General features: G+C 36.7%; 1 protein-coding gene and 1 long non-coding RNA gene across 2 annotated transcripts in view; both read left to right on the top strand.

Annotated features, from left to right (window-relative positions):
* The window catches only part of TMEM74 (transmembrane protein 74), a 180,745-nt gene that overhangs the window by 15,379 nt on the left and 142,247 nt on the right, over positions 1-23,119 (top strand). The gene's annotated exons all lie outside the window — the stretch shown is intronic.
* On the top strand, positions 1,141-15,355 carry LOC102723368 (uncharacterized). Its single transcript, XR_428397.5, has 3 exons — positions 1,141-1,632; positions 14,272-14,368; positions 15,145-15,355. It is a non-coding gene; the product is annotated as an uncharacterized LOC102723368 (long non-coding RNA).

Below are 23,119 nucleotides of genomic sequence, written 5' to 3'. Positions count from 1 at the left end.
AGAAAACATGACCCAAAGGAAAACATAAAAGAACAATGAATTCCACCTGGACAGCCAAATGCTAAGGTATGTCTTAATAAAAATGTACTAGTTTACAGTAGCTAATATACACTCAATAATTAGTATATAATAGTTAATAGAAATATTCACTCTAACCAGGAATCAAAAATTCATATTAAAATATTAAACTATGTTAAAATATGGTAGTTTTTTTACCATAAAAATGGAAATTATGTTTCTTTTTTTTAAAGCAACATTTAATGTTGCTATGAAAGATGATACCTCATACGTTACTTTTCGGAGCATCAGTTAATACATTTCTTACTGGAACATAACTTAACAGTATGTATCTGGAGTCTTCAAGGTATCCTTTCTCCCAGCATCCTGCTTCAAGGAAATTTAGAATAGAAATATTCAAAAAGATGGATAAAAGTTTATAAAGACAGTTATCACTGAATTAGCTAAAAAAAGGAAATACCAAAAAAACCTCATATCTCAACAACAGGGAGATTGCTCATGGTGTAGGCCCATAAACTGGATTGCTGTACAACCACTAAACATAATTTGCAAAGATTCTTAAGAATCTGGAGAAATGTTTATAAAGTAACATTAAGTGAAGTAGCTGATGATGCAGCAGCGCTTTCTCTCAAATATAGCATCATCCCAATTATGTGCTATATATGTGATTTATATATACATAAGACCAGACAGAAACATATTGAAATATAAACAGTGTTATCTCTGCAGTAAAATTATTGATAATTTTTTTGTATTTTGTTATATATTCCAAATTTGTCTTTCCTTTTTTCTAAATATGCTTTAAATTTTTTAGCAAACATTTATGTAACACTATACATCAGCACTGAGTCAAGGAATTTACAAATATTAACTCATTTAATTTAATCTTCCTAAGTTCCCTATGAGGTAGGTAGTTTTGTTACCTCCATTTTATTGATGATGACATTGAAGTGTAGAGAGGTTAAAATATTTCCCCAAGGTCACACAGCTAGTATATGGTGTTAAGTCCATATACTTAACTATGCTATGACAGTGAAAAACTTTGAAATGAGGAAACAAAATAAAATAATGCCTAATTAGAGAAAATAGTAAAGTATGAATTAATTATCTTGACCTCCCCAGGTTAATATAAGAGGATAAGAAAGCAACCTGAAGAACTCAGTTATCCATCAGGAAGACTATTCTGATGTCAGGATTGTTACACTGGAGTGAGTGACAAGGGACGATGTGGGACCTTCTCAGTGAGACCAGAAAAATGGGATTGATTCTCCTCTGAACAGCTCATGTCTTCATGTGGAGGGTAGGGGTAGGAAGGAGGCTCTCAAAGTCCCTTCCAGGCCTAGGATTCAGTGATTCATGAAATCATGAAGCAAGGTGGGAGGACCCAGTTTGTCCTTTACTTACATTTATGCTCTCATCTTTTAAAGGAGCCACAAAAATGAGACTGCTTCCTGTAAATATAATATGTTAATATTTTTTTCTACAACTGAGACATAATCCAAGTACTTTCTAAGAAGAGAGAGAGTCTGCTGTTCTCTTACCTTTCTTCTCAGACTTGAATAAGCCGACTGAGGAAAATAGAGTAGAAAGAAGAACCTGTCAGCATATTGTCAGGTAAGTATAGGAATTACACCACATAAATAGCTACCATGAATAATTTATGTGGAAGCTAGATGGCATTATTTGTGCTGAACTGTACTTCATCCATTTTCCTTCCTTTTCTTTTGGGGTTTTTATGAGTTTAGGTTTTGTGTCATTATATACATCAGAGGAAAAATAAATATCTGTTTAACAATAAAAACATTCAAATTTGTTAAAAGGCCTATAAGATTCTGGGAAGTTTTTGTTGTTGTTGACCTCTATCCAGTTGCAGTAGAAGAACAATTTAGTATAATAATTGCTATTTTTTCTCACTGTACTAAACCATACCAGTTTTTTAAAAGGAATCATTTTATCTTATAACAGTGGACCCACTCTGTAGCTTTTTACTCACAAATTGAACTTCCTCTTTCTCCTCCTCTCTGTATTTGGTCATATTCACAAAGGCTGTCCATGAGCCACTTGGTAGGTGGGAACATTTCTGACAAGATCTATTGATCTATGGAGAAAGTCCAATGAAACAAGGACTAAGTAAGTAATGAAAAATTTTACCTAGGAAACAGCAATAAAAAGCTAAGATATGATGTGATAAAACTCCATAAAAGATATTTGTAGGGCACTGTAATACCAGGTTTAAAAAAAAAAAAAGATGCTAGAAGGGAAATTGGAAACTGGCCCCAAAAAGTGTTAATAGATAACAAATAAGCACTTCTTGTGAGACTGTTGAAGGGAAAACTCATAAAACTCAGAAAGGAATTCACACATATCTTAAGATTGAATCTCTACGGGGACAAAATGATCATTGTGCACCTGTTTTAGAAAGGCAGTGAATTAAAAAAATATATATATTGCTCCTCTTTGGCTTACAGAAAGTAGTAGAGAGAGAAGCCCAGGCTAGGAATATAATCTGTGTGTGGTAAAGGGAAAAAGTGGAATGACAAATGTCTCTGCCAAAGTACACGGTCCCTTTATTTAGTAAAATAATAATAATAAATAAAGAGAAAGCTGTGGCCTAGTTTGGGGTCAGAGAGAGAGAGTGGAAAGTACAACCCACTACTCTATATGAGAAATAATGAAGAATTTGAGGGTCGGGCACAGGCAACTAGGGAGAAAAGAGGACAGCAGAGAGAAAAGAACAGAGGCAGAGGGCTCAAGAAGGTGGCTGTGGGTGGAGGCTTAAGAAGGAAAAGTGCGCTTGCTGAGAAATTCTCAGTTGCAAAGATGGTTGAAGGACTTTGAAGATCTATGATGTGACTTTTTTTGTGTGTGTGTAAGATAGAGTCTTGTTCTGTCACCCAGGCTGGAGTGCAGTAGTGCAATCTTGGTTCACTGCAACCTCCGCTTCCCAGTTCAAGCAATTCTCGTCCCTCAGCCTCCTGAGTAGCTGGGAATACAGGCACAACACACACCATGCCCAGATTTTTTTTTTTTTTTTAGTAGTAGTAGTAACCTACTACTACTAAAAATAGTGTTTCACCATGTTGGCCAGGCTGGTCTTGAACTCACGACCTCAAGTGATCCACCCACCTCGGCCTCCCAAAGTGCTAGGATTATAGGCGTGAGCCTCCATGCCCTGCCTCACGTGACATTTTTAATATTAAGCTGTTCCCTCTTCCAAATTGTTCTGTATATTTTCTCTCAATATCTTCAAACCTTGCATACAAGTCAGTCATACGTAACAGCCTCAGGTCAAAGGGTCCATGGGAAATTTAAGGATAAGACATGGAAAAGAAGGCATGCCCCTTGGAATTACCCTTCTACTGAGGTCTACTTGGCAAAGGTGACAGCAGTTGAGGGAGATGGTTGTTCTAGAATTCCATGATCCTTAGGGAAACAGGTGAAGGTTTGAGCCAGACCTGAGAGCAGCAGGTAGGAGCTGATGGTAGCAGAAAAGCGGACCCTCATATGCACTGGCTCACTTTCAGTTTTTCCCAGACCTACCAGAGGAAGGTGGGAATTGAAGAGAGTTGTGCTATGACAGGGGAGGGAAACGCGGGTGTGAAAGTCTACAACACTTGGGTTACAGGAGGAGCTGGTGGTATTGCTGTCAGAGACAACACCTATGTATGTCATGATTATATAAATTGAATTTTTCTGTAGATAATGCAAGAGCTACTCATTTTTTTAAAATGAAAGTAGCATAATCAGATTTTAATGTTAGAAAGAACACTCAGATGATAGGATCGAGAAGAGATTGGAAAAGTAGGTGAGGATAGTTGGGAAGATTAGGAAGGGTCCAGAGATAAATAATAAATTAGGATGTCGAAGAGAGAAACCAAGAGGAGGCAATAAATTAGTCATTTCAAAGATCAAATCAATAAAGTTGATGGTTAATTTGAATGGGGTGGAGCAGTGAAGGAAATTGCTTGAATTATTAGTCACTAGCCAAGGTATGGAAAGCTTAGGAAAAAGCACAAGATTTAATGGGAAGGATATGTTGAGTTTGAGGTCTGTGGGGAACACTTAAGTGAAGATGGCTAATGGTCAGTGGAAGTATGGGTCTGGAGAACTGGAGTAAGGCTGGGCTTATTTATGATATAAAGCTTTGTGACAATATTCTCTCAGCCCAAAATTGGGATCCAGAGTTTTTCCGATTTCCAATGGCCAGTGAATTTATTTTCATGAAATTTTTACAAATACATGTGGAAGCGTATCATTTGATTTCAACTAATCTTCTTTGAGTAAAAGAATAAAGCCACTTGAAATCAAAATGTCCCTGAAAAAAAACGGTATATGGTCACTATATTTATACCTCATCTGTTTCAAAAAGAATTGATGTAATTGAGATGTTAGACCAAAGCTTAATAATAAAAAATATTAATTAGAAATTGATAAGAAAGAGAAGAAAATATAAGTAACTAGATCCCTGAAATTAGTCAATAACCCCAATACAAGTTTAAGTTAACTTGAGATTTCTGTTAAAATTAAGAAGGGGTGAAGAATATTTGATCAAAGTTACAAAGTATTTGATAAAAATGAAGGTCAGTATTAATTTAGGGAGAGAAACACTTCTTGACACAAAATTCTATGGAGAATTTGTCACACAGATCTGTATATAAAGGACACTGAGCAACAGTGAAAAATGGTTTTACCAAAGCTACAGAAATGTTCTCAAAATGGATCCTTCCTATATTGACCCTATTTAAAAGCTAAAGACATAATATTGAGTCCAAAGGGAAGATACTTTTTTTCAGAAAACTAAGATACCACGGCTCAAGTAGGTTGCTTTTTGATGATAATTAAAGGAATGGGGCCAGAAATCTTTTGAGGATTGGATAGTGAACATGTTTTGCTAATGCTCACATCTTAAATATTTTGAAGCAAGCTTCTGACAAAATTGCTGAATCTCTACTCTTTTGTTGTTGAATTCTCTGATGAGTGTTTAGGTTTTTGACATTCTGTGTATAGATGAAAGGAAATTTCAAATTCTTCAGGTTTCAGACTGTGATGGTTAATATTGAGTGTCAACTTGACCGGATTGAAGGATGCAAAGTATTATTCCAGGATGCGTCTGTGAGGGTGTTGCCAAAGGAGATTAACATTTGAGTCAGTGGACTGGGAGTGGTAGACCTACCCTCAATCTGGGTGGGTACCGTGTAATCAGCTGCCAATGCAGCTATAATAAAGCAGGCAGGAGAAGATGGAAGAGCAGACTTGCTGAGTATTCCGGCCTTCATCTTTCTCCTGTGCTAGACTCTTCCTGCCCTCAAACATCACACTCCAACTTCTTCAGCTTTTGGACTTTTGGACTTACACCAGTGGTTTGCCACGGGGCTTTTGGGCCTTTGGCCACAGACTGAAAGCTGCGCTGGCGGCTTCCCTACTTCTGAGGTTTTGGGACTCGGACTGATCACCACTGGCTTCCTTGCACCTCAACTTGCAGACAGCCTACTGTGAGACTTTACCTTGCGATTGTGTGAGTCCATTTTCCTTAATAAACTCCCTTTCATATATACATGTATCCTATTTGTTCTTCCCACTAGAGAACCCTGACTAATGCAAAGACCTATGGGAGAAGAGTTGAGGCTCTATTGTGAAAGTTTTGGAGGCACATTTTATGGTGGCCCACGTGGAAGACCTTACCATGTTTCCATGAATGAGGGCCTCTACAAATTTTGTAAAGGTCCTTCTAACTTGGAAAATTACTTTGAATCTATTTAATCCCTTACAGAATTTTACCACTGAAGGTTAAAGAATATAATTTTGGCTTGGAAACTTCAATAATTTGTCATCCCAGCCAAAAAAGCAAACTCTTTATTGCCTCTACAAAGAACATTCCCATGAACCCATAAGATCCAAATGAAATAACTCAATACTTCAGCTCTCTTTTGATTAGTTAAAAAGAGAGAGACAGAGAGAGAAAGAAAGAAGAAAGGAAGGAAGGAAGGAAGGAAGGAAAGGAGAAATAACCCCCAAATTAATAATATAATAATAAAGTTATCCCTCATTGCTGCTTTCACTGGACACCTTCAAATATGATCTCTTTTAAAATCCTGCTGGATGAGGTCATTTAACCATACCTATTTAAATATTAGGGAATACCAGTAAATGCAAGTATTTTCATTGTTAATTAGATTATGCTAATGCTACTGAAAATAATCTGCCGATATACTTTTTGCTTTTTCCAAAGCTCTGATATGAACAAAACAGTTTGGTTCTTACACACTTTTTTTTTCACATTTAGAGAGAAAGCCTCCCCCAATAAGAAAAATTTGTCAAAATGCTTATGAGCACTTTAGATTTAGATAAGGATACATCATTCCATTTATTGTATGTAAGTATAATAATTTAGGACAATATGTACAGTCAATCTGTTTAAAAATTGTCTCTATAAATTGTTAAGTATGTGATAAATCTTGAGCTGTTATTAACGTTAAAAGTAACTAAAGATGGCCAGGTGCAGTAGCTCACACCTGTACTCCCAGCACTTTGGGAGGCTGGGAGGGTGGATCACTTGAGGTCAGGAGTTTGAGACCAGCCTGGCCATCATGGTGAAACCCCATCTCTACTAAACATACAAAAAATTAGCCGGGTGTGGTACCACGTGCCTGTAATCCCAAGCTACTTGGGAGGCTAAGGCAGGAGAATTACTTGAACCCAGGAGATGGAGGTTGCAGTGAGCTGAGATTACATCACTGTACTCCAGCCTGGGTAACAGAGTGAGACTCCATCTAAAAAAAAAAAAAAAAAAGTAGTTCCAAACTGCTAAGACCTTAGTTAGGTTGTGTTGCCTATGGGGTCCCCAAGCTCATCACCATCCCTTAAAGTCCAGGATGATGGAAGCCTCTCAGAATCTTGACTAAAAATTCCAGTATCACTGACAGTGAGAGCAGAGAGTACTCTAAGTAAGGCAGGTTTGTCAGACCTGAACCTCTTTTCTCAGAATTGTCTAAATTCTGATCACCAGTTCAAACCTGGAACTCAGTGCCAAGGTCTTTAGTGTAGAAACAGCAAATGTGCACCTATGCACCTATTTCTTACACCTATTTCCAACCACAAGTTAATCAAGCACAGAGAATGTGTTGAAGTTGTGTGCCTGAAAATGATAACCACATTGACTTGATAGGCTGAAAACGGAAGGGGAAGAGACTAGAAGGCCCAGACACATCAGAGCCCTAAAAATGTGATATAGCGAGTGGATGAAGACTGATAAACTCAGCTTCATTGAGTTCTTATGGATTTTCTGCAGCTGGATAATGAGGCAGAGAGTTCATATCTGGCGAAACTGGGACTAATCTTATTCCTTAAGTTGCCTACGAGAGTAAAGAATGTTTTTAAAGACCAGATACAAGCATTTTTAGCAGCCAGCAAATTGTAAGTGGAGATAAGACAGAGTGGATGAGCTGGAAGAAGAGCTATCCTTCCTTGAATAGCAGTTCAAGCTCATATTCCCTCTGTCACCATTCAGACATGACCTCCGCCAGCTGAGCCTAATGCACAACCGCAGCATAAAGAAATACTGTCTCTTAGAATGGCATGCAGCAGGAAGAGGCAGGGCCTTTTGTCTCAAACCAACTTGTGCATACAGAGGAATAAGGTATTATCCTCATCTTAAACTCAAAGCACTCTCTATTTCAGAACAGGAAAAAAATGTACATGGCATCCAGGAATTTACTCTTTTATTTAATCTCATTCTCCTGCTTATCAGTTATTACCAGAACTTTATTCTCACCTTTTTAACCCTTCCTTTCCCTTTATCCCTCTAGGAAAGACACATTTTTAATCATTGACAAATGTTTGAGGTTTTTGTTTGTTTTAGTTTTAGTGTTTGTTTGTTTAGTCCTGACTATAGAACATGTCCAGCCTGTTGAAATTCTATCAAAGCTCTAAGGCTTACAGATGCCACCTGCACTGTTAACTTAGTCTTTCTTCTCCCATTGCTTGCAGTTGGTATGCCATTGCTGTAAATTAGACTGAATCTGCCATTGAGACATCCTCTCCTTTATCTTGTTTGTGTTGTGGAGATAAGAGATAAATTGAATGCCCCAAGTGAAATGCTATCAAGTTTTCCCTCTATGTGTAGAAATGGCAGTTTCTGAAGGCTCACTTATTCTCAGAACTTCCACCCTCTAGAGTTGATACAAAAGGAAAAAAAGGAGGTAAAAATCCATGTTTACTAATTGTTTTCCCACTGGGAGGCTTTTCACTAACTCTTTTACTTTCTTTTCCAAAATACTGTTATGTCAAGCTGTGTGCATGAAAGAATGATTAAATAATCAGAAACCTGTAATATTAAAAGTTGGAAGAATTTTTGTTTAATCCTGAGACTATGCAAATTGTCAGTAAGCCTATACCAGGCTGAGGAATAACTCTGGAGATTGTTATAATTTCTCAAATCAAGAATGCTTTTAATTCAGATATGGAATTTCACTAATTAAAATAAGAATACCAGTAAAATAATTAGATCTTTTACTAGAGAGGTGCCTTGCACATCTGCTTTGTGCTAAGTGCTGACATATGTTTACTTATTACTCTAAACACCATAATGAAGGGCAGACATTCTTACCCAAGGTATAAATTAATACTTCTTGGTGGTATTCATGGTCATTCCCAAATAATCTAAACCACAGATACTAAATTCAAATGCCAAGCGTCAATTGTTTCTTTTATGTTATTTATAATATCTCCAAAATTGGTGAATATTACAGTTGAATTGTATTTTAAACATACGAGTACTATGCAAACTATTTCATGCCTAGGTTTGTGTTTATATGGCTAAATCTCAGGAAAAGATTTTTAGTGCTTTAGAGGCACAGTTAACATTTTTCAGAATTACTTAAAATTCATTCATCTCTTTGCCTTTACCTCCTTGGGTTCTGTTTTCCCTTGTGTCTGACTCACAACATCTACTTTATGTGGGATGGTCTAAGGCATAATAGATGGGAATGTTACAATGGGGAAAAGGGTTGGTTTCCTGAACTTATCAATGGGAAGAGAGGAAAGGTTTAATTGGGATTCAGCCAGATGCATGGGATAATTCATTCCATGAAATATGGATTAGATGAACATAAAGAAATATGGGAATGACTGTGGAAAGGTAAAATAAAAGAAAACAATTTGGAGGAAATTTATTCTTATGTGTGCTTTCATTTATTTAATAATTTTTATTGATTGCTAAATTCTAGAGATTTTGCTAAGCAATGGAATATAAAGGTAAACAAAGCAAAACTAGAAGCTACCTGTCCTCAAGGAGTTTTTTGTTTTGTTTTGTTTTGTTTTTAAATATGAGGAGGTCTCACTTCATTGCCCGGCCTGGCCTCAAACTTCTGGTCTCAAGCAATTCTCCCGCTTCTCCCACCTCAGCCTCCTGAGTAGCAGAGATTATAAGTGCATACCACTATGCCTTCTATTAAATTTGGATCTAGTAGAGGAGACAGGTATGAATCAAATAATTACATAAGAGTACCATTCGAATTAATGATAGGTACAAGAAAGGAAAAAGATGGGGAGATATGAGAATGTATCATGGGGAAAAAGTATATATAAGGAAATGATGTTGGAGCTGAGACCTGAAGCTTGACTGGTGACAAGATAAATGCTGTTGGTCATTGAATTTTGACACATTCAAGGTAGGTTCTACCCATGGGGCTGAGTTCAAAATCCCTGAATACTTACGACAGATAAACAAAGGAACTGAAAACAGGAACACATTAAGAAATTACACAAAATGAGGAGCTGACATTAAGTCCTAAGCCTGCATATTACTAACTGTGCTTTGAGGATTTTCAGCTTATTCATGAGAATCAGCTATTTGTCCTTAAGAGAAGGCATGAAATAATTCAGAGTATTTTCTTTAGGTCACAGGAAACCCAGCATGTTGGAAGCTGGAATCCATCATGTCAAAGTGTATTATATATTTGTATTATTTGAATCTCTGAAATGTTAGTTAGGTGCAATTGGAGAAATGGAGATGATAGTCTATGCCAAGTTTATTTGTGGGCAAAGAGGCTTTCATTCATGAAGCACAGTTGTTTCTGCCTCAAAATCTTATTGAAGATGATGTCTATCCTGTCAACTTTGGCCTCTGGTGTTAATAGCAGGAAGAATGAAACACTATTAAATTATTTCTAAACTTCGCTGGATTGAATTCTGATCAGCTCAGAAGTGTAAGAGGGATTGCATTAGGTGGAGAAAGAGTCTTTAAGGGTCTTTATTCCAAAACCTTACAGGAGGGCTCCAAGCCCTGTGGCGGGTCTGTTTTGTGTTGTGACTTGATAGCAAATCACAGTGTTTGACGAATTTTTTTGGAACAGAGAGCTATTTGTATATTTTTTGTAATAAACCCTTGAAATATATTTCATAAGGGAATTGCCTAGCTTTTTGAAAGATTGGTTGATGTTATAAATGTCCTCACGCAAGGACTAAAGAGAGAAGAAAAAACTCAGTTATACCACCCAGAAGAGCATTAAAGCTGCATTTTATTTGGACAGATAGGAGAATAGGAAGAGGGTAACATATTTTTGCCTGTGGCTTCTCTGAACAAAGACCTTGGATATGAGACTATCCATCTCCAGCCTCAGATGATTTTCCTGAACACGAATAAGAGGCTCAGTTTAGAGCCTGTTAAAATATCCTCTCTAATAAGATGGAAACTGCATCTTTGTTTCAGACATGGCCTAGGTACAGAACTGTACCTATGGCTGTCATTTGTAAGGATAAAATAAACAATTTTCATAGATCATTATTAATAAAAGTTTACATGTATTGTAGACTTACTGTGTTTCATCCTCTGTGCAGATCTCTTTATATTGATATTTAATGTTTATAATAACACTATGAGGTAGGTTCTATTTATATGTTGGGGAAACCAAGGTGTAAAGAGATTAGAAAACCTAATGTAAGATCAAGTAAGTGGATAATCCTGGATAGAGCCCACGTTCCTGACTCCTGAAACCATGCTTCTAACCACTATAGTGTACCGCTTTTCATCCCCAGAGTCTAATATTTAGTTTCAGTTATACTGGTGATGTTTAGTGGATTGATGGAGGAACGAATTGATGAACGAATAGAAACCAAAATAAGGTAAATAAATTCAATTAGTTTAATAGATTCTCTTGCAAGGGAAAAATAGAGGGAAATTTAGTAAAAGTAATAAAATTTAACACACACACACACACACACACACTCCAAAACCACTTAAAAAGAACCCCGTACAAGAGGAGAACACTGCAATTAGAGGAGGCCCTTTTAACTGACAGAGTCAGCCAGCAATGACCCAATCCCAGAGCAAACAAATCATCTCTTTTCCCTTCTGCCTGGCAGATTGGCTTCAGTGTTGAACCAGTAAAAGCTTGGGGTTGTAGCACTCACAGGTTCACTATAGATCATGGTGTAGGGTTACATCGCTGTACCCTCTCCAGGTAATGACACCCTTGGCTAAGGCTCACATCAGACACCAGCTATCAGGCATGACATTGCTACAGCCAGACTACAAAGTGACATGAGAGAATTTTGAAAAAGGGCAAGGGGATAATTGCATCTCTTCCAAGGAGAGCTTCCTGAAGCTCTCCTTGGCAGTCATCCAAGTAAAGCTGAGTTAATGTTGCAGTCAGAGCAAGAACAAGCCACAAGCATTTGCTGCCTCTCACACTCCTGCCAATAGATGCATTCTGTTAAAACTGCACTCAGAACAGGCTTGCTAATAATCGTCAAGCTCTGCTACTGGCAACTCATCTCTTCAGATCGTTTCTGTGCCCAGCACAGCCTCTGTGACCGCGCATTGCTACCCTGGTGCACTTGGCTTTTCAACCCAGATCACCAGTCCCAAGAGACTGGCTGACCCTTGTTCTGCTTCACCTAAGCTGCTGGAAGTTCCACTTGCAATCAAGCAAAAAGGCCTTCAGACCTATTATATGGTCTGTTTGTCAAAGTGCTCTGAATGTCATAGTGGAAGTCTCTCTCTCTCTCTCTCCCTCTCTCTCTCCCTCTCTCTCTCTCTCTCTCTCTCTCCCAGTCTGCAGAACAGTGGCGCAATCCTGCCTCACAGCAACCTCCAACTCCCAGCTTCAAGCGATTCTCTTACCTAAGCCTCCTGAGTAGCTACAACTACAGGCATGTGCCACCACACCTGGCTAATTTTTTGTATTTTTAGTAGAGATGGGTTTCACCATGTTGGCCAGGCTGGTCTTCAACTCCTGACCTCAAGTAATCCACCTGACTCATAGTGGAAGCCTTCTAAGCCATGCTTTACATCATGCATATTAGACGACTGAACTGTGTGAAACTCTTCCTATTACAGGTCAAAATATATAGTGGTTTAACCCAGCACGTTTATCTTACCCATTTTTGTACAAAGCATATACCATGAAATTTAAATCTCATTCCACCTCATTCTCTCAGTTCTCCTCCATAGAAGCATCTGTCTTTAACAATTTATGTAAACTTCCAAATATTTTCATGGATATGCTTACACAGATTTGTTTCTAAGCATATATATTTCTTACACCAATGAGACCACATCTGTGTACATACAGTGCCATTCTTCTTTGCCTTGCTTGTTTTTACTCAGTTTATATCAAGGATCTTTTCTTCTCAGCCATTAGAGAGCTACCCCATTCATTTTGCATATTCACTTTATGGACATATCATTATTTAATCAGTCCCTTTTAAGTTGTTTCAAAAGTTTTGCTATTACAAACATTGCTGCAATACATACCTTTCTATATTTACCTTTTTATTACATCAAATATATTCATAGAATAAATTACTAGAAATATAATTGATGAATAATAGGTATATGCATTTTACGTTTTGATAGATACTGTCAAATTGCCTTCCAAAGACATTGGAATTTACCCTTCCACCAATAGCAGATGAAACAGTTCACTTTTCTTAATACTTAATCCACCCTCACAACTGTTACAGATAATTGTGTTTTTTAAAAAATAAACAAGGCAGTACAGATTAGAATTGTAGCTTATCTTACCCCTCTTCGATCTCATACCCCTTTTTACTTCCATTGAGATTATAGCCATATTAAATTTATTATTCCCACAATTTTTAATACTGTTACTTCTAATACATGGATTTTATGGATGCATTTTACATATGTTATGAATGCTTTATACATTTACTTTAAATAAACACTATATATATTATTTGGACACATGTCTTTAAGCATTATATAAATCATGTAGTATGGTATCGTCATTTGGCAGCTGGATTTCTTAAAAATCACGTTTTATTCCTGGAATTTACCCTTTATCTATATAGCTTTGATTTAGTTTATATTTTTCACTGATATATAGTACGCAGTACCCATTGTAAATGGTGGAATATGCTACCATTTATTTTTCTAACATCCCATTGATGGGAATTTATATTGTTTTATACATTTTTTAAAATATTTTACTGTTATAAACAATATGATAATGAACATTTTGTTCTTCTTTGGTCTGATAATTTCTCTGATAGGTCCAAGGGTGTGAGTATCTTCAGGTTTGCTAAATGATACCACTTTGATCTCATTTATTCTCCCATCAGCTGTGCATTAGCACTGTCATTACTCAGCATCCTCCACAGTACTTAATATTGTCCAACTAAAAAGGTTTGCTAATCTGATAGGGGCAAATTATATTTCTTATTGTCTCAATTTGCTTTTCCTCCATTACTAACGTGATTGCACATCTTTTTATACATTTCTTGGCCATTTGTACTTCCTGTTTTGTGAATTGGCTTTACATGTATCTATCCTTCACCCAACTGAGGTCAAGAGAGTTAAGCCTCCTGGTCATCTCTGTGCTTGGTAGGGTTTTTCTAATGTATTCCTTCACAGAGGATATAAATTTTAGGGATCTTTGGTATATGCCAGAGTTTCAGTTCATATGCTTGCTTACTAGTTTTCAGCATTCCCTTTGTTTCTGCTTTATATTTTAAAATGTATTTGTTCTGTTTTGTTTTATTTTGTGGTTTTATTTATTTATTTTTGTAAAGGGATTTTTAGGATCATTTCTCCAAGCTATTTCTGGAACTGGAAGTCTGTTAAATTTACTTGTAGGTTATTATAAAATTCTTATAGAATTCATTAAACGATAGAGCCTAGTTACTTATGTCTCTAAGAAAGCATCTGCATAACTGTCTGAAAGGTGTTCTGCCTTTGAAAATTCAATTTTTAAATTCTCAAGTGACAAAAGAATTTAACATTTCTCTTGATAGCACAGGAGAAAAAGCACACAATCCAACTGAAGAGTGAAAGATGCAGACTTCAGGACATCAAAGCTTCAGTGAGAAACATAATAGTATAGATTTGAGGGTAAGCTACAACGTGTTTGCTAAGGGGACATTTCTCCTGATTTGATTTGAAAGGGCAAGCAGGGAGGTGAAGAAGACTTCATTGAAGAAGTCATAGGGAAATTTAGCACATAAATGCATTATTAATTATGGTGTCATTAAGCTCATTTTCTCTAAAGCAATTATATAAATTTTAAAAGTACATCTATGGTACTTCTTGGAGGCATTAAAAGCAATGTATTGTTTAAAAAAAACACAGAAGAGAGGCAATTTATATCAGCAAACATGTAAATTGACTTTGTTAAGGTTCTTTCTCAGATAAAAGTGACTAATTAACTTACTCTATTATATAAGCTTGTGAATATCTCTAAAAAACAGCAAAGAATAAATATTCACAATAGTATAATATTTAAAAATCAAGCATCATTTATTTTAAGAACAGTCTGTGTGGAGATAAATATTGATGTATACAATTGGATGGAATATAAGAATACAAAGAGTGTTATTTCTTTTAAGAAGATTTTATTAACTAGGGTTACATATTTGTTATCATTAAATTATCCACATTGAAGATGATCCTAATTATTTAGCCTCCATCTACTACCTACTAGATAAGATGGTCCTAATCTAGCATTACTGTTCTTATTGCAAACAGTAAGAAATACCTGGATGAGGTGTTTTAGACCCCAAATTGGGGCTTAAAGGCTTAGCTTGTAGACCTCAAATTAGGAACTGTAAGAACAGGATATATTCTAATCCTTTTCCATTAATAGTATCTTATTTCTCCTTTGGGTATAGTCCCCTAGCTCCTGAGGAAACAAAAATGATTAATGGAATTACTGTGGTCTGTGATCAGTGAAGATGTCTATTGAGAAAAATAATCAGGATTGGCACCACAACATCAGAAGTTATGCTATTACCAGGTAAGTAAACCCTTTCCCTGGTTCAACTTCATTCTTGCAGTTCCTGCAATGTGTATGGACTCAGTCATTATGAATACAGCAAGAAAATGGCAGATCTATCCTTATAAGGATACATTTCCTTCCTTCCTTCCTTCCTTCCTTCCTTCCTCCCCTTCCCTCCCCTCCTGCCCTCCCCTCCCCTCCCTCCCTCCCTCCCTCCCTTCTTTCTTTCTCTTTCTTTCTTTCTCTTTCTTTCTTTCTTTCCTTCCTTCTTTCTTTCTTTCTTTCTTTCTTTCTTTCTTTCTTTCTTTCTTTCTCTTTCTTTCTTCCTTCCTTCCTTCCTTCCTTCCTTCCTTCCTTCCTTCCTTTCTCTTTCTTTCTTTCTTTCTTTCTTTCTTTCTTTCTTTCTTTCTTTCTTTTCTTTACAGTGGTTTGCTCTGTTCCTCTAAATTTGCGGATATGCATCTTAGGTTATAAAGGAGTGAACAGGTTGATTTGACCTAAGGTGAGCTAAAATTGAGGAGCGTAAGAGACAGTGGTGTTAACTATACCAAGAATACACTTACTGGAACAGATTCAGAATTTTAGTACCTTCTATTTTTAAGTTAGAAAGGGAAACATAATATAATTTTCCATGTGCTGTTTACTGAAGAAGACAGGTTGGCGTCCAAAAATTCTGTAGAATCAGATACTTTGTATCACATATTAAAAGAGTTCTCTACTTTATACACATAGTAAAACCTAACTTCTGTTTCATCAGATGGATTTATACTATTTCTGGAATGCTGCCTTTCATTTACTTTGAGGTGGATAAAACCTAATCGTTTGAAATTTTAATGATAGAATTAAATAACTATGAAAGTTCAGAAACAAATTCATTCCAAATAAACTCTCTCATTTTCAGTTGTACTTTATTTTCTTATTACCCAGTATTTTGTTGTTGATGCTTGCATGTGATTAAAATATACTTCCTTGATTCTGGGAATGGCAAACGTAAAATAAGAAGAAAAAGTACTCCCCATTCCCCCCATTCCTATATTTCTTAATTCCTGATAATATGCTTTTTCTTCTCTATTTTCTCTTTGTCTTTGCCTATACTGTCTCATTTAAACCTTAAGTTAATTTTAATATGGCAATAAATTTACATTGTTATTAATATCCAATGTCTACTCTGAACTTTGTTCTACTCTGACTCTTAACAGTACGTTTTTGCATGTATCTCCTATTTTAAACAGATGTATTTGACATTTAGTTGCTAATTAAACCAATCATTATCAGAATTCACAATCATTTCTTAAACATCATTAAAAAAGCAATTTGTGAGGTATAAAATGTAAAGGTGAGATTGATTTGGATGAGTTATTTTAATACAAAAATCTCAGACTTAGGTCCTGGAGAAATAAAAATCAGTGATGCCAAATAAGCATTTTCTTACAGCGTAAAATGTCCTCTTTAAGCTTAAATTTTGAAAGGCATTACATAGTTTTAAGTGGGACTTCTAGCCTTATTTTCACATGCTATATGTGTAGGTTATATTAGTTTTCTATGCTGTATGACAAATTATCACAAACCTAGCAGCTGAAAGCGATATACATTTATTATCTCAGTTTCTGTGGTTCAGGCATCCAGGCACAGTTTAACTGTGTCCTCAAATCAGGATCTCAGAGGCTGCAATCAAGGTATCAACCAGGCTGCTTTCTCATTTGGATTACTGACTGGAGGAATCTGCTTCAAGCCTCACTCAGGTAGTTAGCAGAATTCAATCCCTTGGGATGGTCAGACTAAAGGCAGGCCTTGACTGCAGTGTTCCTGGAGACAGCCTGCAGTTTCTTGCTATGTAATCACTGTCATGGTAAATTTTATGTGTCAACTTAACTGGATCACAGGGAGCCCAGATATTTTGGCTAAACATTATTTCTGGGTGTGTCCATGAGGGTGTTTCTGTATGAGACTTGCATTTGAATCAGTGGACTGAGAAGGCAGATAGCCCTCCCAAATAGGAGTGGGCATCACCCAATTCATTGCGGGCCTGAATAGAACAAAAAGGCAGAGGAAAGAAGAGATTGCCCCCTCTGCCTTACTCCTAAGCTGGGACATCCATCTTTTTCTGCCCTCAGACTGAGGCTTACACTGTCAGCTCACCTGGTTTAGGCCCTTGGACTTGGACTGAACTATATCATGCACTTTCCTGTGTCTTCAGCTTGAGATGGTGGATTGTGGAACTTAGCCTCCATAACACATGAGCAAATTTCTCATAATAAATCTCTGTCTACCTACCTAGCTACCTAGCTACCTAGCTACCTAGCTACCTACCTACCTACCTACCTATCCATCCTATTGGCTCTGTTTCTTTGGAGAACCCTGAGTAATACAGCCACTAACTTCATAAAGTTGGCAAGAAGAGTCTTTAGAATAGTCTGCTAGCAAGGCAGAATCCTACATAATGTAACATAATCACCCAGTGACATCCTATCATGTTTGCCATATTTTATTGACTAGAAGCTAGAAGTCATAGCTTCTGCCCACTGTCAAGTGGAAGGGATCACACAAGGACACCAAGACCAGGAGTCCAGGATCATGATAGGCAGCACCCTTAGGCCTGTCTACCATATAGGTAAATGTAAAATATGTGTTTATTATTTTTATCTTGAATATATTTTAACATTTATTTAAAAATCTATTAACAGTATAAAATGAGAATAAGAACTACATATGGAATTTTAGCATTTGTTGAAATAAAATACATGTCAACAAAAACACAAAGGGGAGTAGGAGATACAATTAATTTTGTCTTTGGTTTCTTAACATTGCTTACATGGTGGAATAAGATTGCCTGATAGTAGATTATGATAATTTAAAGATGTGTATTATATTCTGTGGAGAAGAGGTTCCCAATGTATAAGCTTCAGAACTTGTTAAGATAAGCAAATTCTCAGCTCCTACCTCCTACTTTTTGAATCAGAAACTCTAAGGTTGGGCCTAGCAGTATGTGATTTAACAAACACTCCAGGTAATTTTTATGCATTCTGAAGTTTGAGATCCACTATAAAGTAATAAAGTGAGGTACAGCTAATAACATCAGTAGAAGGGGTAAAGTAGATACAAAATACACTTGATTCACACAAATAAATGCAATAAAAGAGGAGTAGAGGAACAAAGAGCAGATGAAACACATAAAAAATTCCAAGATGATAAACTCACATATCAATTTAAAGCAATACAAAACAGAGTAGACATGTCTGAATATGGAAGTGCTGATAAAGACTTGGAATAAGCTCCTAAATGGAGATGAAAAGGACAAACATTAAAGCAGCCAGAGTAAATCTGATAGCTGGAATAGGCAAACTGGATCTTTAGTAAGTACAATTGGTGTCCTTGAAGTATGAAACTCAACAAATGAAACAGAAAATATTGAAAGATAAAATAAGGAAATTATTTCAAATAAGAAACACCTAAAGTTGCCATCCAAAGGGCACATAGCCTCCTTTTTTTGTTTTTTAGGAAAATTTCATTCCAAACATTTAAAACAGCATGGCAAGATATTTTTATGGCAAATGCTCAACACCACGACATATCATGAGGCTGTTTATTCTTAGACATCCAGGCATAATAAGAAAAATACCTACTGGGGGAAATATCAGGCTGGCATCAAATTTCAGTATACAAACATTCAATGCCAAAAGATAATGAAGCTATGTTCACTAAATTCTGAATGTGAGAACTCATAATCTAAGAATATTATATTCAGCCAAGATATTCTTCCCATGGCATTCTTAAACATGAAAGGATTAAAGAAATAAAATGCCTGTTAATTCATTCTCGAAAGACTACTTGATCAAAAACTCCAGCAAATTAAGAGATGAATCAAAATGTTCAAAAGATTGTTTCAGAAATGAAGAAGCTTAGAAAAATGAACACAAACTGAAATATATGAGGAATTGAAGAGAGAAGGATGTGACAAAAGTATGGCTGTGTGTTCCCAAAAGGCAAACTGAGGTTGGAAAGTAACAAATTTTTAGTGACACTAATGTCTCCTCCTTTTAGCTGCTCACTTATAGGATTTTCATTGTAAGTGCAAGAGAAAAAAGGGCCAGTGAACTGGTTATACTGACAAGAAAGACATTTCTAAGACAGATAAGAAATTAAGCAAATTTCTAAGGAGGAGATGTATTTAGAGAAAGGAAGAGATGTAGATGCTTACAAAAGTGTAAGAACAGTTGTAGTGGGAATAAAGAGTGAACAAGTTGAAGAATATGAGGTTGTTGGCAGAGACTGATGTATTTGAAATGACAGAAATTGTTATATAAGAATCCAGAGAAAAATCAGTTTGAAGTTACAATAAGGTCGGTTGAAATCATGCAATTAGGTTGTTAGTTTACAGGTACACAGTTGGGATGAAAGGAGGTTTAACATGTTGAGATTAACTTGTTAGATCATACATGTGGACAGTGAAGCATACTTGCTGCAGTGACAGCAAGTTTTTGAACATGAGATGCCATGTCATTGACCTTTGACCAAGGACTACATTTATAATTTTCTGTCCTTTCCTTTTTTCATTCAATAAATATTTCCTGAGAGCTTATTCTGTGCTAGACACTCGTCACAGCCTTTAGGTGAATAATGCATTTACTCTCAACAGCCGTATGAAGTAAGAACTGTTGTCATCCCTTGTAAAGAACTTTTGTTATCTTAGAGATGAGAAAAGCAAAGCACTGAGAGGTTAAGAAATTTAAACAAGGCCACTGAGCTGGCAAGTAGTGGAACCAGGATTCAAACCCAGAGAGTTCAGCTTCAGATCCAGTGCTCTTTACCACTGCATCTTTAATATTGTCTCATCCTTTTCATCATTTAGAAGTGATGGGCTAGCTGTGTTTTCATATAAGGTAAGGGTTGTCATTCATTCATTCATTCATTCATTCATTCAACAACATTAATTGATTGCCCAGGCACTGTTGTCATGTTCACGACCATAGTCCCCAGCATCCATGCAGCTTCCTCTTTCTCTTTAATAAAGTTTCCTAATGGCATCTGGTAAGGCAAGTTCCCTGCATTCCTCTTCCTTAGCAACATTGTCCTAGCTCTTTTCACATGTTAGAATAATTTCGTATGTTCTCCAAAATCCTCTTGTAATTCTGATTGGCAGTATATCATCTATAGAGATGAATTTAGGGGAAATTTATTGTTTCCTAAGATCAAAGTATTTTATTCCCTTTAGTCTAGGTAGGTTTGTTTGGATTTTTTGTCATTGTTAATAGAAAAATTTGGGGTTTTTTGTTTCTTTATTTTGATTCTGAACATTTCTTGTTATATTTAGCTCGTTTATGTTTTTTGTTGCTGTTATAAAGCAGAGCTTTCCTCCCATTAAATTTTCTAACCAGTTACTGTCAGTATAACATACAGCTATTGATTTTTACATATAAATTTGTAACCAATGTCCATCTTGGATTCTTTTATAGTATCTAGCAGTTTGAGGTATACTATCTTGTGTTTTCTAAATATATAATCTTGACATTATTTGGATCCAAGGCAAAAAAGAATGTGCAACAGAGCCAGGATTCAAATTCCTTCTCCTGATCCAAGTTCAATGGCATTTCTACTGTGCTACAAAGTGTATTTATAGCTATGTGGAATGAGATGCACAATGTATAATATGGTCTAAGAAATACTGGACCTCGGCCTCTCCCTAAAAATATCTTCTCTTCCTTGAAGCTTATCATGGAGCCCAAAATATTTTAACCCGAAAGAATCTTTTTTGTTGGGGAGGTTGTGCAAACAGCTTAATTGTCAGAAGCAATTCTGTTAGAGTTCATATACCATAAGGAATAATATTGTAAGGTATCTGTCCCCAAAGTGGATTATTTTTTGCTAGACTCTAAAGTCCATGAACGCGTTACCGGTGGAAGGTATCCAGGTTACTGGTGGTGAATCCATACGGGTCGGTAGCAATCTCAATTTGCCTCCTCAGAAGAAAGAATTTGACTAAGGGTCATAGGGCAGAAAAAGAGATGAAAGCAAGTTTGAGAGCAGGAGTGGAAGTTTATTTAAAAGGCTTTAGAACAGGAAAGAGACAAATGGAAAATACGCTTGGAAGAGACCCAAGCAGGCACCAAGGTCAAGTGCAGTGTTTAACTTTGATCCAAGGACTTTATAGGCAGCCCCCTTCCCAAGATTCTCCCCTTAGGGAGGGCTGCCCACATGCGCAGTGCCCTCCTTACCCTTGGGAGTTGAGTATGCGCAGTGTGTTCAGGCAGTTGTACGCATGCCCATTTGAGATTTTCCTTCTTTTTCAGAACACCCCAGAACATCATATTCTGCCATTTTGTCTCTTAATGTGTATGCCCAGGAAGTTTCTTCTCCCTGGTGTCTGCGTTCAATTAACGCTTTAGTGTAACAGCTGTGGACTGTCAGGAAATGGCCCCTCCCTGGTGCCGACTCCCAATTTATCACTTTTAGAGAGACAATGTCATAACTGCCAAACCATCACCCAACATTCCTAGTGGGTAGGGAAGAGCCCTCTCCTGCTCCATTCATGCCTAACTACCTGGAACAAAGGGAGGAATCACTGCTCTCACTTATGAGTTCCTTGATGCAACAAGTAGTTTCTGTAAATGTGTTTGCTCAATTGAAGTGAGTTAGAATATGGAGAAAACTAATCCATAAGATGTTAATAGGTGTTATCTAAAATGAATTTCCATAATTAAATATGTTTGAGCAATGCTGGGTGAAACAATGTTTACACAAGTCACTTTACTGTGGAATGTTCAGAGGCTTTATGCATCTGTGTAGGTATCTATTTTGATTCTCAGAGTGAGACCTGGATTTTCAAAGTTTTCAAACTTGTTTTGCCATGAAGCCTTTTCATTTCCCTTGGAGCAGTTTAGGATTTTGAAAATGCTGCTGAAAAGGATCATGAGTTAACAGATACCAGTAGTAATTAGCGAACAGAGAGCTAGGATCAGAGTCCTGTGAGGTGTGGCACAGGCTGGAAACCTGAGCAGAGGAGAGGTCATGAAAGGAGAAGCAGGGAGACTTTGAAGACAGACTACCTACTTTTCAGCTCTAGACCAAGACATCATCTTGCAAGGCCAGAGAATATAGGTATCTGTGGTTACTAATCTGACATCATTTTTCTAATAATGTCTGGAGAGCAGTCAAGGTACTCCAAGTGTGTCTTCAGATCATGGGCACATGTGATGTAGCCCCACATTGAGAAGTGTGCTTCTCATTCCTCTTGAAAACCAGCACAAGACAAGATTGCCCTCTCTCACCACTCCTATTCAACACAGTATTGGAAGTTCTGGCCAGGGAATAAGGTAAGAGAAAGAAATAAAGGGCATCCAAATAGGAAGAGAGGAAGTGAAACTATATTTGTTTGCAGATGACATGATCCTATATCTAGACCACTCCATTGTCTCAGCCCAAAAGCTTCTTAAGCTGATAGGCAACTTCAGCAAAGTCTCAGGATATAAAATCAATGTGAAAAAATTGCTAGCATCACTGTACACCAACAACAGTCAAGGCAAGAGCCAAATCATGTATGAACTCCCATTCACAATTTCCACAAAAAGAATAAAATACCTAGGAATACAGATAACAAGAGAAGTGTGACCTCTTCAAGGAGAACTACAAACCACTGCTCAAGGAAATCAGAGATGACACAAACAAATGGAAAAATATTCCATGCTCATGGATAGGAAGAATTAATATCTTGAAAATGGCCATACTGCCCAAAGCAATTTAGAGATTCAGTGCTATTCCTGTTAAAATACCATTGACATTCTTCACAGAATTAGAAAAAAAAACAACAACTATTTTAAAATTCACATGGAACCAAAAAAGAGCCCAAATAGCCAAGGCAATTCTAAGCAAAA

This window comes from Homo sapiens, chromosome 8, assembly GCF_000001405.40.
Source record: "Homo sapiens chromosome 8, GRCh38.p14 Primary Assembly".
NCBI classification, from domain to species: domain Eukaryota; kingdom Metazoa; phylum Chordata; class Mammalia; order Primates; family Hominidae; genus Homo; species Homo sapiens.
This window is presented reverse-complemented; position numbering and strand designations above follow the sequence as displayed.